Raw genomic sequence first — 20,892 nt, forward strand, 5'->3', positions numbered from 1 at the left:
AAGATCTGGAGAATGTGGTACAGAACGAGACATCAAAATTGCATCAGTTTTTTTGGTGCTTTGATTCATAACATTCTATTAATTTAATAAAATGGAGAATTTCAATGTATTTGTTATAATAAATTTAGCAGAATTATAAGGTTTCACTTTCCCATGATGCAAATGGGAAAAGGGGACACTGATTTGACAGAGAGAAACAACTACTGCTTATAAAGTTCAGGAATGTAGAGCAGTCAATTGCAGTCTTAGTCCTAGTTAGTACTAAGTTATCAAAACTGTTCATCAAAATTACTTTTGGAAGTTTTTTAACAGAACATGACATTTCCTAAAATCTTTGAAATATTTATTAAAATTATACTCTCAAGGACAGATATATAGAAACAGGATAAACAGCAAATTACTGACAGTTATGAATAACTACATGTATCTCCATTTATATCAAAAACAAGATGGATACTTTTGTGAAAGTTCTCAGTTTAACAACTTATCAAATTAATCCTTTAAGCTAGTTGTATGGCAAAGAAAAATCTCCCTCCATCTGTAGTTGTAGGGAAAAGGGACATCTTCATCATCATTTTGTTAATTACTAAAACTTGCATTTTTAAGAACAAGTCCAGGAATTTCACTAGTTAGCCTTACAAGCTAACTGTAGAGCTCACTTTTACTGCAGAAATGGAGATAGGTCTATAAAGGATTTTACTTAATAGAGGTTAAATAAGGAGCACATAAAGTTTTTCTTTATAACCTCTTACACATTTAAAAAATCATTTCTATTATTTGACTTCCTGAGCTTGAATATCTTAGTCTGGAGATGAGTCAGTTTTGCCATACAATTAGTGGATATATGAGAAATCTTTGAATTGAAATGAAACAGGCTCTTCAGCTGGAGTGGAAGTTTTACAATGAAGATAGAATGAATTAGATTAAGTCAGTAACCTGTTCTCAGTTGTTACAGCATATATATGTGAGAACGTGTGGTTGAGTGTGTCTGTGTAGGAACAATTTTTAAGACTCGACACTTGGCCGGGCGTGGTGGCTCATGCCTGTAATCCCAGCACTTTGGGAGGCCGAGGCGGGCAGATCACAAGGTCAGGAGATCAAGACCATCCTGACTAACACAGTGAAACCCCATCTCTACTTAAAATACAAAAAATTAGCCGGTCGTGGTGGCAGGTGCCTGTAGTCCCAGCTACTCGGGAGGCTGAGGCAGGAGAATGGCACGAACCCGGGAGGTGGAGGTTGCAGTGAGCTGAGATCGCACCACTGCACTCCAGCCTGGGTGACAGAGCAAGACTCTGTCTCAAAACAAAAACAAAAACAAAAACAAAAACTCGACACATATATAGTGAAGACTTCTACAATGTTAAGATTTCCCCCGCTCGGTTGGAAACCCTGAATTTGTGTGTATGTATTTGTGTAAGGTAAGTTACATTTTTTATTGGTCTGCGTTTTTCTGTCATGCCTGTGTACTTGGGAAATCTGAAACTGAGTGTCTTAGGAACTTCTTAAAGCAAATGTGAGGGAACATTAAAAAGTATATTTAAAATATAGAATAGGTCCATTTTCTACCTTAAAGAGTAGTATATTAAATACAATTATTATGCTGTTGTTGCTTTGCAGTGTATGTGGTGGGAAGAAGGCAGGAGTTTTTTATCTGCATGCTATATGAATCCTTCAATAATAATGTACCTTTTTATTACTGGGTTTGGCCATATTGATTTCAGTGAGTATTGTGCTCTCACAGACTTATTTTTCCAGATTTCATCTCTTAAAAGTGGGAAATTGGACTGGATGCTACTTTATTCCTCTTTCTACTATTTTTCCACAAACAAATCTGACTAATTGAACACAAACAAGGTGACTTAAGAATGTCAGATAGAGTTAGTCCTCTGTCTTTGGCCCTCTAGGGCCTAGAATTGCCTGTCCCTTCATAAGTGTCAATTAGTACTCTTGGAATGAATACAGGAATGAATTTTATTTTATTAATATGCAGTCTAAATACTGACTTTTCATCAGTCCAGGTTATGGAATGATGAAAAGTCAGTATTTAGACTGCATATTAATATTATTACCTATTCACATTACTCTGAATTATATTAAACAACTAATCAATAAATGAATTTTAGGTTTTTTTAAACATTAGATAGCAGACAGACAGAAATCCAATTAGGCATTTAGTTAACATAGTTCACACTGTAAATCAGCTCTATTCAGGATTCTCTGAATATAGTCTTTTCTGTTTCTGTGACAGAAAATAACTGCCTAAGGAAGATCAGGGATATTTACGATTTTCCTTTTCACCCTGGGACAAAGTTCATGCTTATATTCTGTTTAACCCCCATGGGTAGCTGTAGTGCATGCTGTTTACCTGGTCCCCATCAGATGTTTTAGATGGAAGGAAGAGTAAAAAGGGCTTGGAGACTAGACTCAGGAAAGGTAGGCTTCTGACTCTGCCATTGCCACACTGGAAGACCTTGGACAAGTATTTTGTTCCCACTGGTATATAAGGTATGACTTATCCACTAGATGCAGAAGACACAGTGCCCAAGGCTGACAGTACTGTAAGGGCCCATGAAGGTGTTTTGCTTATTGCCATATGCTAGACATATAACTTTGAAGCTAGATATGCAACTTTGAAAGACGAATATATTCATCTTTCTACCAATGCAGCCATAGAACATATATATCTTCATGAAGGAAGGAGGAGTCTACAAGGTTAAACGTGCCTAGGGCCCATGAAAGTAAGAATATGGACCTGTTTCTGGGTCCCTCTTTCTTTCCTTTGTAAAATGAAGGTATTGAACTAGATGATCTGTGATTCAGCCAATGCCTCTGCCAAGCGATTTGATGCACCATGGAAGCAGATGCTGTGATCAGGACTGGTTAGAGCTATTTTCTTCTGATGTCAGTCAGCAAGAAATGACTCCGTAATAGATTAAAATAAAACACTTATTTTGCACCAGAGAGAAGGAAAGAGAGAGAAGCACATGACTCAAGGAGAATGTTTACATGTGTTCCTCCCAAAGGCTTTATCTTGACATAGTGTTCTCATCTGCAACTTTTTAAAAATGAAAATATGTGAGCAACAGAGAAAAGATATTCTACCCAGCTAGTCTTTAGCCAAGTAACTAAGGTTCTTAGAAACAAGCTTAAAATACCAGACAGATTGCACAAACATCTTAAAAAATATGTATCAATTTAATGCTTTTGTAGTAGTCCTCCCTTATCCATGGTTTTGCTTTCTGCAGTCTCAGTTAACCATGGTCAACCATGGTCCAAAAACATTAAATGAAAAATTCCAGAAATAAACAATCTAAAAGTCTTAAGCAGCATGCCATTCTGAGTAGTGGGATGGAATCTTGCATTGTCCTGCTCTGTCCCACCCAGGATGTGAATTCTCCCCTTGCCCAATGTCTCCACACTGTCTATGCTCCTCGCCCATGAGTCACTTAGTAGCCTTCTCTATAATCAGTTTGACTGTTATGGTATTGCAGTGCTTGCATTCAAGTAACTCATTTTACTTAATGTTGTTATTATTGTTAATCTCTTACTGTGCCTAATTTATAAATTAAACTTTATCATAGGTATGTATGTGTAGGAAAAAATATATATAAGGTTCAGCACTGTCCACCGTTTCAGGCATCTGCTGGGGGTCTTTGAATGTATCCCCCTCAGATAAGTGGGGACTACTGTATTTATTTGAGAACACCCTAAACTAGTTAAGAACAAAAGGAACACTCTCCCCTGCCATCCATTGCTGGTATCCTGTGTGTGTTTGATACCTCAGATTCAGCATCTACTACAGCACGAAGTGCTTATGCGTGTCCTGAATTATAGGAGAGTCGGATTCACCACCCTGCCCAGAAACAGAAGCATTCCAGAGGTTTCTTCATAGATCATGAAATGAAATGGCCGGTCCACTTTGATGACAGGAGGCATGGAATAAGCAGTAATTTCTGACAAGATTCCTGCCACTGCCTCAGTGCCCCTTTCATCAACTTCAATCACTGTTCTTTGTAAAACCTGGAAAAAGGAAATAATGTGAAAAACCATTTGTGTGGCAGTGCAAAGGAGGAATTAAATGAGCCCCTTGAAATTCTTCACAGTGGTCCTACCCATGGGGTCATGCTCCTGGGATTTAGTGGAGCAGGCCCATCTACGTTAAGAGGAGTGGTCTGGGGTTGCACCAGGGACTGCCACAGGAGTCTTAAACAATACCAGGAGACCTCAGGAACCCAATGTGAAGTATTGTGGAATATGTGAAACACATTCCGGGCATGGACTCAGGATGCACTCATGCATCAAATCTTTATTGAGCATGTAATTTATGCTACTAATTCTTGAGCTGAGCTGGTGCTCCTAAAAGGTTTTCAAGCTGCCTGGATCCCTTGATCCCTGGATCCCTTGAGTCCTCTGACTTTCCTTTTGGCAGGCAAGGTGGAGGCAGGGAATGGCTAGTCTTCTGTAGCAGCTTCCCAGCACCTGGTACTACTCTGAGGCATTTTTCTGGGCCAAGCCCAGGGGTCCCTGGAGCCTTCCTGAATTCTGGCTGCCTATACTGTGGCTGCTTGCTATGTTTGGGAGGCCCTTTTTTACAGAAACAAGATGTGATATGAGTGATGTACCTATATAATTACTGTGTTATAAGAGATAATGAAAACATAACATGTAATTACACTGATTTTCACTCCAGGAAATTCCCTGATTTCCTAGAGGAAAATTAATTCCCCAGAGCAAACAGAGGGAGAATATTTAATCATTTACAGTTTAAATTTCATGATGACCCTTCATAAAGCAGCAGCGCATTTCAGTTTTTCATGTGTTCATAGCAGAAACACTTTCAGGTGCTGGTCTGACGGATTGTTTTATTTAATTGTCTTACCTCTCTTGAGGTTGTAAGACCTGATTCCAGGCCACAGTTACCCTACTGTGTCCTACTTAAGTGGATGCCATTTTTAGTCTCTCTTGGAATTGAAAATTGCAATTGTATAAGAAAATATTAAACCACACAGCTAAGGAAGAATGTAGAGAGATGTAGCTGCCATTTGGAAATGTGTGGGAGCATTTTTATAGTGATGACTGGAGTTTCCTACTGGCATTAGTGAACATGGGCCAGCAATGCTAACCAGTTCCCTGCAACATGCACAACTGCTCTGGACAACAAGCAGTTCCCCTCAAAACCAAGAACCCTTCCACTGAGAAACACTGAGTAACTGAAGGGATTCTATGTGGATGGTGACTAAACTTGTTCTTAGAAGTTTTAGAGATAGAACTAGGACCAAAAAGTATGAATCAGAAGTTACAGGACTCTCTCTCTCTCTCTCTCCATATATATATGTATGTCTCTCTCCATATATATATATATGTGTGTGTATATATATATACACACACACATATACACACATATACATTTATACACACATACATATATACATATATATACACACATATATATATATACATATAACAATTTTAGCTATTTGTGGATTGGGCAGCTCTTCAAAGAAATGGTGAGTTTGATGTCACTGGAAGCATGAAGAGGAAGAGAAGTTGGAGGGCTATTTCGTAGGGCTATGGAGGGGATTTCCACAAGGAGGGAGAAGTTGGGCTAGATGATGTCTAGGGGTTTGTTTCATTGTAAAGGTGGTGTAATTTCATGAACTATTCAAGTTGTATTCAACATAAATGATGATGCCTCTGTAAACCAGTTCTATTTCAGGGTCAAATTTCTCCCTGAGCACTTTAAGCAGAGGGGGAGAGGTCTGCTTAAAATAAATTAGTTGAAAAGTTATTTTAATGAAGTTGCTTGAAATTCTTAAAACATCCAACCTGGGTGCTATTTCAAGTATTTGGGACTTAAATCTAATTTTCCACTACAATTAGGTATTTTATCAAAGTTAAATGGTTTGTAAAAGCATTTGTTTTGGTGACATTTCATGCTGAGGTTGGGCTCTGATGAAAGATCCTGACTTACCCTGGATACTTGGAGATTTCTTCCAGTAGCTGAGAGTTCACTAAGGTCAGCAAAGGGTGAGAAGATTCTTCTGATTCCCATCTGCCTAAGCAGCTCATGCATCTCATACTTCTGATCTAGCTTGAACTTCGGAAAGAAAACTTCCATGTTTCTGTGGTACAAGAACAGATGATGGTGAAATGTAGACAAAGCCCTAGTCTGTGGACACCAAAAAGGTCACAATTTTTGTTCTTTAAGATTATTTCCATTAATGAGTCTTTCAGTTGACTATGTAGTTCATGCCATTCTTTTACAGTGGTCTACTCAGGGAAAATATTTCTAGCTTATCAAATAGTACTTCAGCTTCAGTGAATGAGTTTTATTCCTCAGCCAGTGACTCACGTTTTCTTTAGCAAAGTACTTATGTGTTCATTTCCCTATATTTTAAAAAAAACCTGAGTTAACAGCTGCTTTCAGCAGTCCTGCAGCCTCCTGGATGATGGCTGTTTTCAGCTCCTGGATTCTGCAGACCCGAGGAGTCTGGGGATGGATGGGGAGGGGAGCAAAGAAAACTTTCAACCCCTACCCGTCTTTAGCCAGAGAAGCTCTGATACCATCTATTTTGTATACTGGAGTCCTCCTTTGAAAATATGTTGCTTGAAAAGATGAGTTCTGTGGCTCAAAATAAAATTTTTTTATTTATTTAAAAATAATTGAGGACATGACGTGTCTTGAAGATTAATTTAAAAAGTTATTCATTCAGCAAACATTACTTGAGGGCTTATGATGTTTGGGGTTCATTGTTAGGTGCTAAAGATATGAAGAAAAATGAAAGAAGAATAATGAAGATAAAACTAACCCTGGGGACCTTTAGCTGCACTTGTCTGCCAAAATCTGAGTCACAGGATTCAGAAGCCATAGCCATGGAATTCGTATTGCAGCCATTTTCCTTGTACTCCAATAGGTGGATTAATTTATTGGGCAGACATTTCAGTGCCCACTCTGTGCTTTCTTTTCCTCTCCTCTATATTTACAGACCCCAACCCTGTCATGTGTCTAGATTCTAGTTCTGTGTTGATGACCGAATTTATATCTCCGGCCTGGACCTCACCCTAGACTCCAGATCCACCTGTCGTCTTGACATCTCAACTTGGATGTCTAATAGATATTTCTGATCCAAGTGTTTAAGACTGAACTTCTGCACTTACCCCAGACCTGTTCCTCCCCCTTTCAGTAAATGGCAAATCCGTCTTTCCAGTTGCTAAGGCCAAAAACTTTGTGATCACCTTTGACACCTCTCTCACCCACATCCAATCGATTAGCAGATCCTGCACTTCCTAATAGATCCAGAATCCAGCCACTTCTCACCACTTCCACTACCACCACCGCAGTCCAGGTAGCAGCATCTCTACCTGGATTGCTAGTAACTTTCTAACCACTCTCCCTTGCTTCCATCCTTACCCCCTAGTGTCTTTTCTCAACACAGGAGCTTATGTGATCCTTTAAAAACAGAAGTCAAAATCAGGTTGCTCCTCTACTCAGAACCATCCAGTGGCTTCCTGCCTCTCTCAGGAAAGCCCAAGTCTTTTCTGGGGACTGGGCCCCTGTTTCCTCTCTGATTTTATCTCCAACTGCTGAAGCCACACTTGTCTCCTTGATGTTCTTCAAACCCACCAGGTACACTCCCATCCCAGAACTTGTACACTTCTGCCTGTAACATAACACTTCTCTCCCCGAATATATCCACATGGTTTATCCTTCATCTTCAGATGTTTGCTTACTGTTACCTTCTTGGAGAGGCCTTGTCTAACCTCCATCTGCATCCTGATGATGCTTCTTGTCCCCTTCCCTGCATTATTACCTATTTTTAATTTACTCTTTGTCTTCCTTCAATAGAATGTAAGCTGCATGAGGGCAGACTAATTTTGCCTGTTTTGTTTGCTGATGGATCCCTGGCATCATATATTTATCACAGTCGCAGAACGTAAAATACTGATGGACTCAATGAATGAATCAGCCAGGCACCCTGTGACAGATGCTGGGGATAGAGTGGAAAAAAAGACAAATGCTGCCCTGCCTTCAGGAAACTTATAGCTCACTGGAGGAGACATTAAATCACGGTGCATTCAATGAAATTGTGCTGAGCGTTTGCCAGTACAGAAAGGTAGAGTTTGTATAGGGTGTGGGCAAGAGTTGTACCTGGTTTTCATGTTTCTGAGCCATGTCTCCACCAAGTCTGTGGTCAGGTAGTCTTCAAGGGCGAGGTGGTCACCCATTTTCTCCATGAGGACCACCAGCATGGTGGCATTTCCTTGGTAGGGCAGTTTGAGGACATGACAACGAAAATTCTTGTCAAAGGTGGAGGCAAACTTGCCTGCACCGTACATCATGGGCACCTTAATGGTCTTGTACTTGTCCAGGTGGAAAGTGTCGACTTCGGTGAAGACAGGGTCAAATGGGGTCAACCATTTCCCTGAACAAGTAAGAGAAGAACTCATTGCAGAAATTCCCTCTTTGAAAAGCATTGTTCTTGCTCAAATAATAGAGAGGGAGCCTTCTATCTCACTTCTCTCACTTCTCGTCTTCTCGTTCCAACTAGGAAAGGCGTTCCCTAATTGGGTTGGCTTTTCCACAGCTCAGGCAGGCAAAATAAATTTCCCCAAAATTTTCCCCGTCCTCTAGCCCAGCTAGCAAAATGCAGCTCCACTCGCAGGCCCTATTGGGAATCGCACACGAAAGCAGGGAAATGTTTCCTAACAATCCCTGGCTCCTCTCATTGTCCTGGACCTGAACGGAATTCACAGTCGTTCCCTCATAGTTGGCTCCAGCTTAGAGAAAAGCCTTTGCCTGGCACCTCTGACTGCCACTTTGTCTCATTCACACCAGGCACAAGCACATGCAGAGTCCAAGGTGGCAGGAGTGACACTTCTCACCCACCCACTGTTTAGTGTGGTTCTGAGAGAAGGCCCCACAATGCAGAGGCTACTAGCAGGCAGGTACATTACTCTCTACATAAACGTCTGCCCTGGGGGTGTGGCCTGGCTGGTTGTAAAGTGGCTTCCCCTGCCGGGGCTTTGTAAGTCTGGTGCCAGCTCTGCGAAAGTGGCATCCAACCCACGTCCAGTGCCCCATTAGGGAGGCAGGGCTGGACAGAACCTAGGATCAGGGGGTCAGGAGGCCCTTGTTTGGGTTTTGCCTCTGCCACTTACTGTGTGACCTTGATCAAGCTAACGTCTCTGAGCTGGTTTCATCTTTAGAAAGGAGACAACTCCTGCTCTACCTGCTGATTGGCAGTTTGGAAGAACAAGTAAACAATAGATACTCAGTGTCTGCTATGTGCCAAGCCCATCTGGGCACTTTACATTCATTGTCTCATTTAGCCTCTAACACTGTAGTAGGTGGAGTGTCCCTATTTTCTATAATAGGAATCTAAGGGCAGAGAGTTGGTCAAAAAGTAAAAATGAAGGAGCAATGATGCAATCCTAAATCCCCCAGATAATCCCCCAGCCCCCTGTTTTTTGGAAAGACCCTATGCTTCTAAGTGTCAGAGGGGAGCTATGTAGAGTGCTCTGAAAATAATAAGGACTACAAGCACATAGGATACCAGGGAAGGGCCTCAAATGACAGCGTCTGGCACTGTTCAATATGTGTATCAATCTGTTTTTGAAACGTGAAAACACATTCATAGAAAATCACGTAGCGTTAATCATATGCTGGCCTAACGAAAGGAAAGGGAGAGACAATCGTAGGGCCCTGTGGCCTTGGGAGAGCAGAACATTATCAAAGTACCTTTGAACAAGATGTAATCCACAAGAATTAATTTGGTTTCAGGATTAATCTCATCAAACAGTTTGGGAATTTTCCCCCGAGTCTCTTTGTTAATGTAATGATTCATGAGCCTTTTGGCCTGTGAGGCATTGCGAAAATTCATAGGCACGCACTCTGTATCAAAATACCTCTTGGATAAATTGAAGAAAGTCTCTTTGACATCAAAATCCTTGTGGATGAAGGCAAAACTCCCCTGTGTGAGGCCCAGTTCCAGGTTGCGGGAGAGGGTCTCTCTGAGTCCCTTAAAGAGGGAAGGCAGGAGCCCGGGCTTGGTGGGCTTCAGGGCCTGCAAGTGGAGCCCTCTCTTGATCTGGGTTTCAGTCGGCCCTGTGGCCCCCAGCATCAAGCCTGTCATGGCCAAGGACATGCCAAATGGAGAGAAGACCATGTTGCCATCGTGCCTCATGGAGATCTTTCGCAGCAGGCTGAATCCGAAGTTTGAAGTCTCCTTGGCAAGCTGCTGCCTGCTGGCCATCAGCCAGGCTTTCTCTTCCTCACTGGCCTTCTCCTCGCTGGCCTCCTGCTCATCTTCCTCTTCCTCCTTGGGAGCCTGCACTACCCTGCTGGTCTGGTTCTGAGGGGCTGGGGTCTCTGGCGACTGAGGACTGGGGGCCAAGCCGGGTACCAGCCACACCTGTGCCAGGAGGACGGAGAGCAGGAGACTTGGCACCACCTTCATGTGATCGGCTGCGGAGGCCAAGGAGTGCCTCCCTTCAGCTGCAAGACTTCCTGTGGAGAGGAGAGGATAGAGATGGTTTTAATGCCTCCTAAAATGTCTTTGTGGATAGTAAAAGCTTCTTCAGGGACCCTGCCTCCTTCCTGTGGCTCAAGTAGGTTAGCCCTGCCCCAGGGAGACCTAGAGCAAGTGTGGGTGACATTTGCTCACCCAAAGAGGGGACATTATTTCACAGAGCAAAACCTCCTCCAGTTCCCATTCCCTGCCAGGCCGGCAGGCAGCTCTCAGTCCTGACCCCGTTTTCATTCATCCCGTCTCCTCCCTGAGGGCCAGGGCAAGAGAGTCCACTCTGGGAGCAGGAGGCAGCACAGAAGGTGGGGGTCCAAGCAGGTGGAATCAGGGGTCCTCACACACCTTTCCTTGATCTGCTTCATTCACTGCCCTGACCATCTGGTCGTCAGGCTGCCCATCCAGATGGGTGGCCGGCCTTGCCCAGTGCCCTGTTTGGCTGGGGATTGGAGTGCCTGCATGCCCGTTAGGCAAGGAAGGGGGAAAGTATTGGAGCTTTCCTGGATTTTTTATCAAAATTCTCTTTGCACTGCACCTCTGCTACACAGTTCCTTGGAGGTCTTCCTTCCTTCCTTCCTTCCTATAGCTGCAGCTCCCGGGTAGCAGGAGGCCCCGCAATTCATACAACCCACTTCTGGGCTCCCTCCACTGTGGCTTCATAGAGCCCTCAGCCACCTGGGCTGCATGCCGGTTCTCACTGTCCTAGGCTGCAGTGTGGGAGCTACACTTCTTCACCGTTAGCTGTCCCCTTCTCTGTCGCCTTTTAGGCTCCCTCCACATCCTTGGACACAGAGCCTGGCTCCTGAATACTTCCATGTTTTCCATCCAAATACATGGCTTGGGACTGGCCTGGGCCACCTGGCTGTGTCCAAACTCAGTTCTGGTGTTCAGCCACACTGCAGGCCTGATCCCAGAGGCTGGCTGGGCAGAACCCCTGGGACACCTGCCCTCCCTCATCCTCTCTCTGGGCCCACTGCCCTGGGAGGGTCTGGGTGGGGTAGGCCACCCAGCCCAGTGAGCGCAGGGTGGATGCTGCCGGCCTCACAGTAGTTCCCATCAGCAGAGACCCTTATTCTTGACCAAGGTCACCTGCGGCAAAATGTATTGACAGGCGGTGCTGCCAGGCCTCTTCCTGATGCAGGGGCTGAGTCCTTATCTATGCCTGGGACAAAACCGCCTCCAGCGCCAGGGCCCAGCATGTTGCCCCTTGCTCGGGCTGAATGGCACCCCGGAATTCAGGGCCTCACTCTGCAGTCTGAACGGCACTACCCTCTCCCCTGTAGAAGCAGTGAAATACTTCCACTGTGTTTCCCAAAGGACACTGTTGAGGAAGCTCTTTTTGACTCTAAATGGCAAGCCTGCATTCAACAGGTCACCCAAGTATTGTAAACGTTGGGTAAATAGCTCTTTCAGTGTAAACGCAGCCCAGTTTCACGCTTTTATTGTTATGGACTGAATGTGTCCCCTGAGAATTAATAAGTTGAAGCCCGAACCACCATTGTGATGGCAATAGAGTTGGGGCGCTTGGGAGGTGATTAGGTTTAGATGAGGTCGTGAGGGCAAGGCCCCTGTGATAGCACTAGTGCTGTCATAAGAAGAGAGCAGAGTCCCCCTCCGCACCTCCTCTCCATGGGAGGACACGGTGCGAAGGTGGCCATCTGCAAGCCAAGAAGACAGCCCTACCAGAATCCGGCCACGCTGGCACCCTGACTCGGACTTTCAGCCTCCAAAACTGTGAAAAATCAATGGCTGTTGGAGCCACCCAGCCTGTGGTGTTTTGTTAGAGGAGCCTGAGCTAAAACGATTACGTGGCATCATTTAGTGCTACTTTCTACATTAAGACCACACAGAATACTCCTGAATTCAAGGTTACTTCTCCCTGTACAATGGTCAGGAAATTAGCCCAGCACGCCAACTAGATGTCACCACCTCCAAATGCTGAGTCTTACCTTCCTGTTCTTGGAGCTTGTCCTGCAGTCTGCAGTGGTAGCCCAGTAATTCCTGGGTGCTCCTGGACATATATCGCCTAAGGTCTTTGTAAAGTCTTTGCTCATCTACCCAACCCTTTGGAGTCTAGGCCAGGAGCTCAGGGGGTGCTCCTGGACTAGGACACCATCCAGCATGGTGAGGACGCACCTTCCTAGACAGAACCTGGGCAGTAAGGAATCACCAGCTCACCTGCCACTTCTCAGCCCTGGGACAGCACACATCCCTGCCTCCCCTCAGCCCTGGGAAGGGGAGACCTGCTTACTCCGGCAGTGAGTGGTGGTGGGTGAAATATCAAGCCTTTCAAGCCTCTTTCCCTTGGCCTCCTTCCTGCAGAGGAGCCCCTTGTGTCTATAATTCGCCTCTTACCCCACTCCAGCTCCCAATCTGTATGTACAGTCCCTGTGGAGTGTAGGATGGAGGTCTTTGCACTGCTCAGCCACACAGCCCTCACGTTGGAGCCCGCCCAGGGATGATACCATCCTTCCCGGTCCCTCCCTGATTAGACTCATTGAAGGTCTCCTGTAACCCACTGCCTCTTACCAGTGTGTGGCCTTGGGTCCTGGAAAAGTCCTTCATTTAGAGCAGAAACCAAAGCTTCAGCTTTGCAGCCCAGAACCTTCAGCAAATATTTGCTATTCCAAAGTATGATCCCCTGTGGGACGGTTACTGATTAACATCCTGCTTGTGATGGTGGAGTTTCTGGAAAACCAAAGACCAAGTGGGAGGCTTCCCATACTCCCCAGCTCCTCCTATAACCCGGAATATGACCCAAATCCCATCACGAGAGCTTCTGCCTTGCAACTCAAGGCTTCGCCCCAGTAAGATTCAGCTCTGTCTGGGTGGGGTGTGGGGAATTTGTCTTGAGCTGTTCTAGGTGCTGAACACCTCGAGAAAGAAGGCACTGGGGGATCCCATGGATGCTTCCTGAGTCCCCAGCCTGGTACTGGACACTATGAGGATGTGGGTTGGGGGGCACAGCAGAAATGTTCAGGACCTGTTCTCTCAGCCCCCAAGGAACTGGTCAATCCAGTGGGGGAGGCAGACAGGTAAATCACTACTTAGAGTACATAGCTCCTTTCAAGGTAAATTTCCTGCTTCACAATGTTGCTGGACTTGAGACTGAATCCTCGGGCACTCAGAGTTGAGGCTGGTGGAGACCGTTTATGGCAAAACTTTTCAGACTTCTCAGACTCTCTTTTTTAATATATATAAGTAAATATTTTGTTATGTGCCCCTTACTACTACCATTGAAGTGAAACGTATAGCTAATATAATCTACCCACAAAATTAAAAAAAAGATAATGCTGTAATGATAATATGGAGGCATAATAAAAGAGAATAATGTGTCCCTGAATATGGCAGTGCTGTGGCCTAAGGGCCTGGGCAGGTGCAGTGAGGCTGTCCAATGTGGAGCCCACGGGAGGTCGCTTGTGTGCTGCTCACTGCTGGCCGGTGAACAAGAAAACCAATGGTACTACCAGGGATAGAGCTTTTGAAATGGTAAATAATGCTTGGTAAAGTTTCAAACAAAATAAAATATAGATCTTTCCCTGATTTACACGGTCATTGTCTTCACAGAAAATGCAGTGTGTAGTAAAACCTTGGATAAATATTATATTTTTATATGAAATAAAGCAGCCCCAGGACTGACAGTCTAGGCTCAGATAATCCCACGTGAACTTGAGGTGGACATGTGAGTCCTGGGGAACCCGGCGGCCTCTTCATCATGGGAGACTGCCCTGCGTGTTCTGGTATGTCTGGCATTGCTAACCCTCAATCCTTAAATGCTAGTAGTACTCCCCCCAAACGTTTGTGAAAGGCAGAAGTGTCCCAACAAGTTTCCAGAGTGTTCCTTTTGGGCAGTACCTGCTCTGTTAATAGGCAGTTCTTTAAGAGGTGAAAGTGAGGGTGTAGAGGGGCCAGGCTGGACTCACACCACGCACAGGAGTCAGCCTTTGCCTGCCCATCCAGGTCGAGCTCTGCAGCTGCGGGCTTGTGGATTCCCAAAAAGCAGGGGCTGTTTCCTCCAGGCCTGGGAAGGTGTCTGCTTTGCTAAATGTCTGAGCGGAGCCAGCGAGTGTGCAGGTCTTAGGGCACAGGGTTTCTTTCTTTTTTTTTTTTTTTTTGAGACGGAGTCTCTGTCTGTCACCCAGGCACTGTCTGTCTCAGCTCACTGAGACCTCCACCTCCCAGGTTCAAACAGTTCTCCTGCCTCAGCCTCCCGAGTAGCTGGGATTACAGGCGCCTGCCACCACGCTAATTTTTCTATTTTTAGTAGAGACGGGGTTTCACCATATTGGCCAGGCTGGTCTCAAACTCCTGACCTCGTGGTCCTCCTGCCTTGGCCTCCCAAAGTACTGGAATTACAGGTGTGAGCCACCGTGCCTGGCCAGGGCACAGGGTTTCAGAAATGGATCCTTATAAAGGAAGGCAGCGGAGTATATTGGGAAGATTGTGAAGGCTTCAGCCAGGCCATTGCCTCCTGCCCTGGTGTGAATCTGAGGTCCTCTGCTCCCGGTTCCTAGCTGCTGGGATGTAAGTTAACCTCACCGAGCCAGCCTTTCTTCCTCTGTTAAGTGGCCAGAACTCAGACTCTGTCCTATGAATATCTCTGCAGCACCGAGGAACCAGGAAGGGGGTGGACGATTTTGCTCCTAAGGCTGTGAGCCCTGGACCCCAGGGTGTGGCTCAGAAGTCCCCCTCCTTCAGGGAGGACATTATTCCTGTACAGCTCCCAACAAGGGAGCTGCCCACTCTTTGACCTTTAGCCCTCCAGTTAGATGGGAAAGTGAGAAAACTCAATGCATAGCACTGTAGCCTGAGCTCTTTTACCAGCAGCATGACCCTGAACAAGCTACCTAACCTCTCTTAGCCTCAGTTTACTAATCTGTAAAATGGGGTGCCCCAGGCTGAGCTGTTAGGACTTCTGAGAGGATGAACTGAGGTGGTGCCTGTGGAGTTGAGTATCTCGCCCGGTAGGAAGGAAGTGCTAAAGGAATGGCATTTGTTGCATAATTTTAGAGCCAGATTGAACCTCAGAAGTAAGTAACCCTGTCCCCAGGCTTTGATTTTATAAAGGAAGATATTCAGGCCCCACCATGAAGGCCTTTCCTGCTAGAGTTAAAGCAGAATAGACCAGGCTGTCTGACTTCCAGTTGTTATGAACTTTAGCTTCTCACACTCCTTGGCCAAAAACGATTGGGAAAGCTCTGACGGGAAGGCCTCTGGTGATCCAGATAAACTCATAGGCGATGCAGAACCCTTCCTGGAACTCCCCTCAGGCAGGAGGCACAACTTCTGAAAGCCACTCTTCAGGGCGACATCGAGGGGCTTCTAAAGCAAATTTGTCCAGAGACCTACAGGGTTAAACGTCTGAAAAACAAGCGTTAGGGCAGTCCTATGAGACCAAAAGCAGACTCCAGGAAACAGTGAGAGAACTGCAAGAGTTTACTTTGTGTGGATCAGATGAAGGGGGTGTTTGGGTAGGTGGGTAGTAAAGGAAACCAGACTATGTTACCCCTTGATATGGTCTGTCTGTGTCCCCACCCAAATCTTATCTTGAATTGTAGCTCCCATAATTCCCACGTGTTGTTGGGGGGTACCCAGTGGGAGATCATTGAATCATAGAGGTGGTTTCCCCCATACTGTTCTTGTGGTAGTGAGTAAGTCTCACGAGATCTGATGGTTTTATAAGGGGATTTTTAAGGGGAAATTCCTTTCGCTTGGCTCTCATTCTCCCTCTTGCCTGCTGCCATGTAAGACCTGCCTTGATTGTGAGGCCTCTCCAACCATGTGGAACGGTGAGTCCATTAAACCTCTTTTTCTTTATAAATTACCCAGTCTTGGGTATGTCTTTATTAGCAGTGTGAAAATAAACTAACATACCTCTAAATATGCCTTTCTGATATAAAAATTATTTTTGAACTGAAGGTAATTAAGAAACAGCAAATGGAGAAATAGTTTTCTCTATCTTTCCCCCTTTCTTCCTAAAGACAGATAAAAATTCATCTTTACTGGAAATGACTCTAGACTCTTATCAACCCAGAGATGGCATCAGAGGAATATGCAAACAAGCCTTATTCCTTTAGTTTCCTCCCATATATTTACCTTCCATGATTTCCTGCCCTTGGAAGCATAAAACCACTTCCCTTGTCCCGATCCATGATTTTCCTGCTAATTTATTGCTCTTTACTAAAGGTAAGTGGAGTTCTAAGGCACCATTTTGAGTTACTTTTCATGCAGGTTTCTCCTGTGTGAAGTGCATGGCCCATGTTGTAAGCTGATTTTTCTCTTGTCTGTCTTTTGTTACAGGAGTCTATCCCAAAAAAGAACTAAGATGGGAAGAAGTCAAGTTTAGCCTCCCCCCACAGTAGTACAGAGGTAGGAAAAAAAGGGCTTTCCAAGTCCTTGCAACATACACACACACATATGCACATGCACACACAGGTGCAAATTTCTCGCTGATTTCCAGACATCCCTCCTGCCTTGAACTTTAAAGACATCTTTCTATTGTGTTATGGCTTATGTGATTTCTTCTTTTTAAACTTCTAATTTAGAAATAACTTTAAACTTAAAAAAATTTGCAAAAATCATGGTCTCCACATCTACCCTTCACCCAGCTTCCAAAAATATGAAAATATCATATGACTATAATACATAACCACAGTGTATTAGTCCATTTTCACGCCGCTGATAAAGACATACCCGAGACTGGGAAGAGAAAGAGGTTTAAATGCACTTACAGCTCCACGTGGCTGGGGAGGCCTCAGAATCATGGTGGGAGGCAAAAGGCACTGCTTACCTGGTGGCGGCAAGAGAAAATGAGGAAGACGCAAAAGCAGAAACCCCCAATAAAGGCATCAGATCTTGTGAGACTTATTCACTATCACAAGAACAGTATGGCGGAACCACCCCCATGATTCAAATTATCTCCCACTGGGTCCCTTCCCACAACATGTGGGAATTATGGGAGTACAATTCAAGATGAGATTTGGGTGGGGATACAGAGCCAAACCATATCATTCCGCCTCTGGCCCTGCCAAATCTCATGTCCTCACATTTCAAAACCAATCATGCCTTCTCAACAGTCCCCCAAAGTCTTAACTCATTTCATCATTAACCCAAAAGTCCACAATCCAAAGTCTCACCTGAGATAAGGCAAGTCCCTTCTGCCTATGAGCCTGTAAAATCAAAAGCAAGCTAGTTACTGCCTAGATACAATGGGGTTACAGGTATTGGGTAAATACGGCTGTTCCAAATGGGAGAAATTGGCCTAAACGAAGTGGTTACAGGGCCCATGCAAGTCTGAAATCCAGCAGGTCAGTCAAATTTTAAAGCTCCAAAATGATCTCCTTTGAGTCCAGGTCACGTTGATGCAAAAGGTAGCTTCCCTTGGTCTTGGGCAGCTCTGCCCCTGTGGCTTTGCAGGGTACAGCCTCCCTCCTGGCTGCTTTCACGGGCTGGCGTTGAGTGTCTGTGGCTTTTCCGGATAAATGGCGCAAGCTGTCGGTGGATCTACCATTCAGGGGTCTGGAGGACGGTGGCCGTCTTCTCACAGCTCCACTAGGCAGTGCCCCCATAGAGATTCTGTATGGGGGCTCCAACCCACATTTTCCTTCTGCATTGCCCTAGCAGAGGTTCTCCATGAGCACCCCGCCCCTGTAGCAAACTTCTGCCTGGGCATCCAATCATTTCTGTACATGTTCTGAAATTGAGGCGGAGGTTCCCAAACCCTAATTCTTGACTTCTGTGCACTCGCAGGCTCTACCACGTGGCAACTGCCAAGGCTTGGGGCTTGCACGCTCTGAAGCCACGGCCTGACTCGACGTTGGCTTCTTTCAGCCATGGCTGGAATGGCTAGGACACGGGGCACCACGTCCCTAGGCTGCACACAGTACGGGGACCATGAGCCCAGCCTACAAAACCATTTTCTCCTAGACCTCTGGGCCTATGATGGGAGGGGCTGCCATGCAGACCTCTGACATGCCCTGGAGACATTTTCCCCATTGTCTTGGGGATTAACATTCTGCTCCTCATTACTTACGCAAATTTCTGCAGCCAGCTTAAATTTCTCCTCGGAAAATGGGTTTTTCTTTTCTACCACATTGTCAGGCTGCAAATTTTCCAAACTTTTTTGCTCTGCTTCCCTTATAAAACTGAATGCTTTGACAGCACCCAAGTCATATCTTGAGTGCTTTGCTGCTTAGAAATTTCTTCTGCCAGGTACCCTAAATCATCTCTCTCAAGTTCAAAGTTCCAGAAATCTCTAGGGCAGGGGAAAAGTGCCACCAATCTCTTTGCTAAAACATAACAAGAGTCACCTTTGCTCCAGTTCCCAACAAGTTCCTCATCTCGATATGAGACCACCTCAGCCTGGACCTTATTGTCCATATCGCTATCAAGCTTTTGGTCAAAGCCATTCAACAAGTCTCTAGGAAGTTCCAAACTTTCCCACATTTTCCTATCTTCTCCTGAACCCTCCAAACTGTTGAAACTTTGCCTGTTACCCAGTTCCAAAGTCGCTTCCACATTTTTGGGTATCTTTTAGGCAGTGCACCACTCTACTGGTACCAATTTACTGCATTAGTCTGTTTTCACGCTGCTGATAAAGACAAACCTGAGACTGGGAAGAAAAAGTGGTTTAATTGGACTTACAGTTCCACATGACTGGGGAGGCCTCAGAATCATGGTGGGAGGTGAAAGACACTTCTTACATAGTGGTGGCAAGAGAAAATGAGGAAAATGCAAAAGCGGAAACCCCTGATAAATCCGTCAGATCTTGTGAGACTTATTCACTATCATGGGAACAGTATGGAGGAAACTGCCCCTGTGATTCAAATTATCTCTCACCAGGTTCCTCCCACAACATGTGGGAATTATGGGAGTACAATTTAAGATGAGATTTGGGTGGGGACACAGAACCAAACCATATCACATAGTATAATGGTCAAAACCAGGAAATTGCAGTGATTCTGTATATTGTCATTATTCAAGCTTTTTTTCAGTTGTCCTACCAATATCCTTTTTTCTTGTACAGGGTCCAATCCAGGAACCCAATGTTGCATTGGGTTGTCACATTTCTTCATTCTCCTTGAGTATGGCACAGCTTCTCAGGTTTTGTCTTTCTTGACCTATGACCTTTTGAAGAATACTGGCTAGATATTTTGTAGAACGTCTTTCAATTTGGAATTTTCTGATATTTTACATGTCAACTTTAGGTTGTACGCGTTGGGCACAAATATGGCAGAGGTAATATGCCTTTCTTTGTGTATCATTTCAGCTGGCTGGCATAATTTCTGATGAGAAATCAATCCTTATTTTGATCTTTGTGCCCTGTATGTAATATATCCTTTTTTCTAGCTGCTTTTAAGATTTTCTCTTTATCTTTAGTTTTAAGGAATTTGATTATTAAAATTGATTTTTAATTATTGATTATTAAAAGAGCACCTTGGCTGGTGTTCTTTCTCCTGCTTTGGGCTTGTTGAATTTCTTGGAACTGTGAATTTATAGTTTTCATCATGTTTAGAAAATAATTTAACCATTATTTCTTAAAATATTTTCCTGTCCCCTAAACTGCCCCCTTCTGGGGCTCCAATTTCATGTGGTGATGTAATGGTGAGGGCTTAGGTCATGTGTAGTTTTATGTGCACTACTGCTGATTTTATAGCTTGTTGGGGTGATGTGTAAGAAATATTCATGCAGCTACCATTATCCTACAGTCAACCAGAATTTTATGACTTATAGAATAAATTAGCTATTTAAGGATATGAATGGCAAGATTTTTGGCACTTTGTTATTTGCCTTTTAAATTTGATTATACTTTTAAAAATGTTTGTGTGGTTGAATGTATCTATCTTTTCTTTAGTCATTTCTGGATTTATAGCATTCTTAGATAAGTCTTTCTCATTATGAGATTATTTTTAAAACATTCATTATATACTTTTTATTTTAGGATTTCAATTTTTTATATAAATCTTTGATCTATCAGGAATTGATCCTGGTGTAAGGATGACAGTGATTCTAATTTACACTGTCTTTCAGCTGGCTACCCGATTGTCCCCAAACATTTTAAATAAATGTTTTAACACAGTTTGTTTGCCCCATTTATTTGAGATGCGTTTTTTTTTTTTTTAAGAGAAGTCTCATTCTGGTGCCCAGGCTGGAGTGCAGTGGCGTGATCTCAGCTCATTTCAAGCTCTGCTCCTGGGCTCAAGCAATTTTCATGCGTCAGCCTGCTGAGTAGCTGGGGCTACAGGCGTGTGCCATCATGCGTGGCTAATTTTTTGTATTTTTAGTAGAGACGGGGTTTCACCATGTTGGCTAGGTTGGTCTCAAACTCCGGACGTCAACTGATCCACCTGCCTTGGCCTCCCAAAGT

General features: G+C 44.4%; 1 protein-coding gene across 4 annotated transcripts, besides 1 other annotated feature; it reads right to left on the reverse strand.

Annotated features, from left to right (window-relative positions):
* SERPINA10 (serpin family A member 10) lies at positions 327-13,135 on the reverse strand. Of its 4 annotated transcripts, XM_017021353.2 has the most exons (6): positions 13,056-13,135; positions 12,476-12,677; positions 9,743-10,510; positions 8,153-8,426; positions 5,975-6,125; positions 327-4,023 (listed from the first exon to the last, which is right to left on the reverse strand). In XM_017021353.2, the coding sequence occupies exons 2-6, from the start codon at positions 12,543-12,545 to the stop codon at positions 3,832-3,834; spliced, it is 1,455 nt and encodes a 484-aa protein (XP_016876842.1). In that variant the 5' UTR covers positions 12,546-12,677; positions 13,056-13,135; the 3' UTR covers positions 327-3,831. The 4 variants fall into 4 exon arrangements, with proteins under 4 accessions (XP_016876842.1, NP_001094077.1, XP_005267790.1 ...); NM_001100607.3 differs by lacking the exon at positions 12,476-12,677; XM_005267733.6 differs by lacking the exon at positions 12,476-12,677 and having other exon boundaries at positions 12,882-13,135.
* Positions 11,519-12,018: an enhancer, noted in NCBI's record as "H3K4me1 hESC enhancer chr14:94757989-94758488 (GRCh37/hg19 assembly coordinates)". NCBI's record gives its function as "activates a minimal SCP1, AML or CMV promoter by ChIP-STARR-seq in naive H9 embryonic stem cells {active_cell/tissue: H9 hESC(naive)}" and the evidence as "EXISTENCE:reporter gene assay evidence [ECO:0000049][PMID:30033119]".

This window comes from Homo sapiens, chromosome 14 (genome assembly GCF_000001405.40).
Source record: "Homo sapiens chromosome 14, GRCh38.p14 Primary Assembly".
Taxonomy (NCBI): domain Eukaryota; kingdom Metazoa; phylum Chordata; class Mammalia; order Primates; family Hominidae; genus Homo; species Homo sapiens.

Bases quoted from the DNA above. Each gene is read 5' to 3' on its own strand.
- SERPINA10 (XM_017021353.2), bottom strand. From the start codon at position 12,545: ATGTCCAGGAGCACCCAGGAATTACTGGGCTACCACTGCAGACTGCAG. The intron at 10,511-12,475 runs GTAAGACTCAGC...TCCTCTCCACAG, and splicing joins CAAGCTCCAAGAACAGGAAG to GAAGTCTTGCAGCTGAAGGG. The intron at 6,126-8,152 runs GTACAACTCTTG...CTTGTACCACAG, and splicing joins CTCAGAAACATGAAAACCAG to AAACATGGAAGTTTTCTTTC.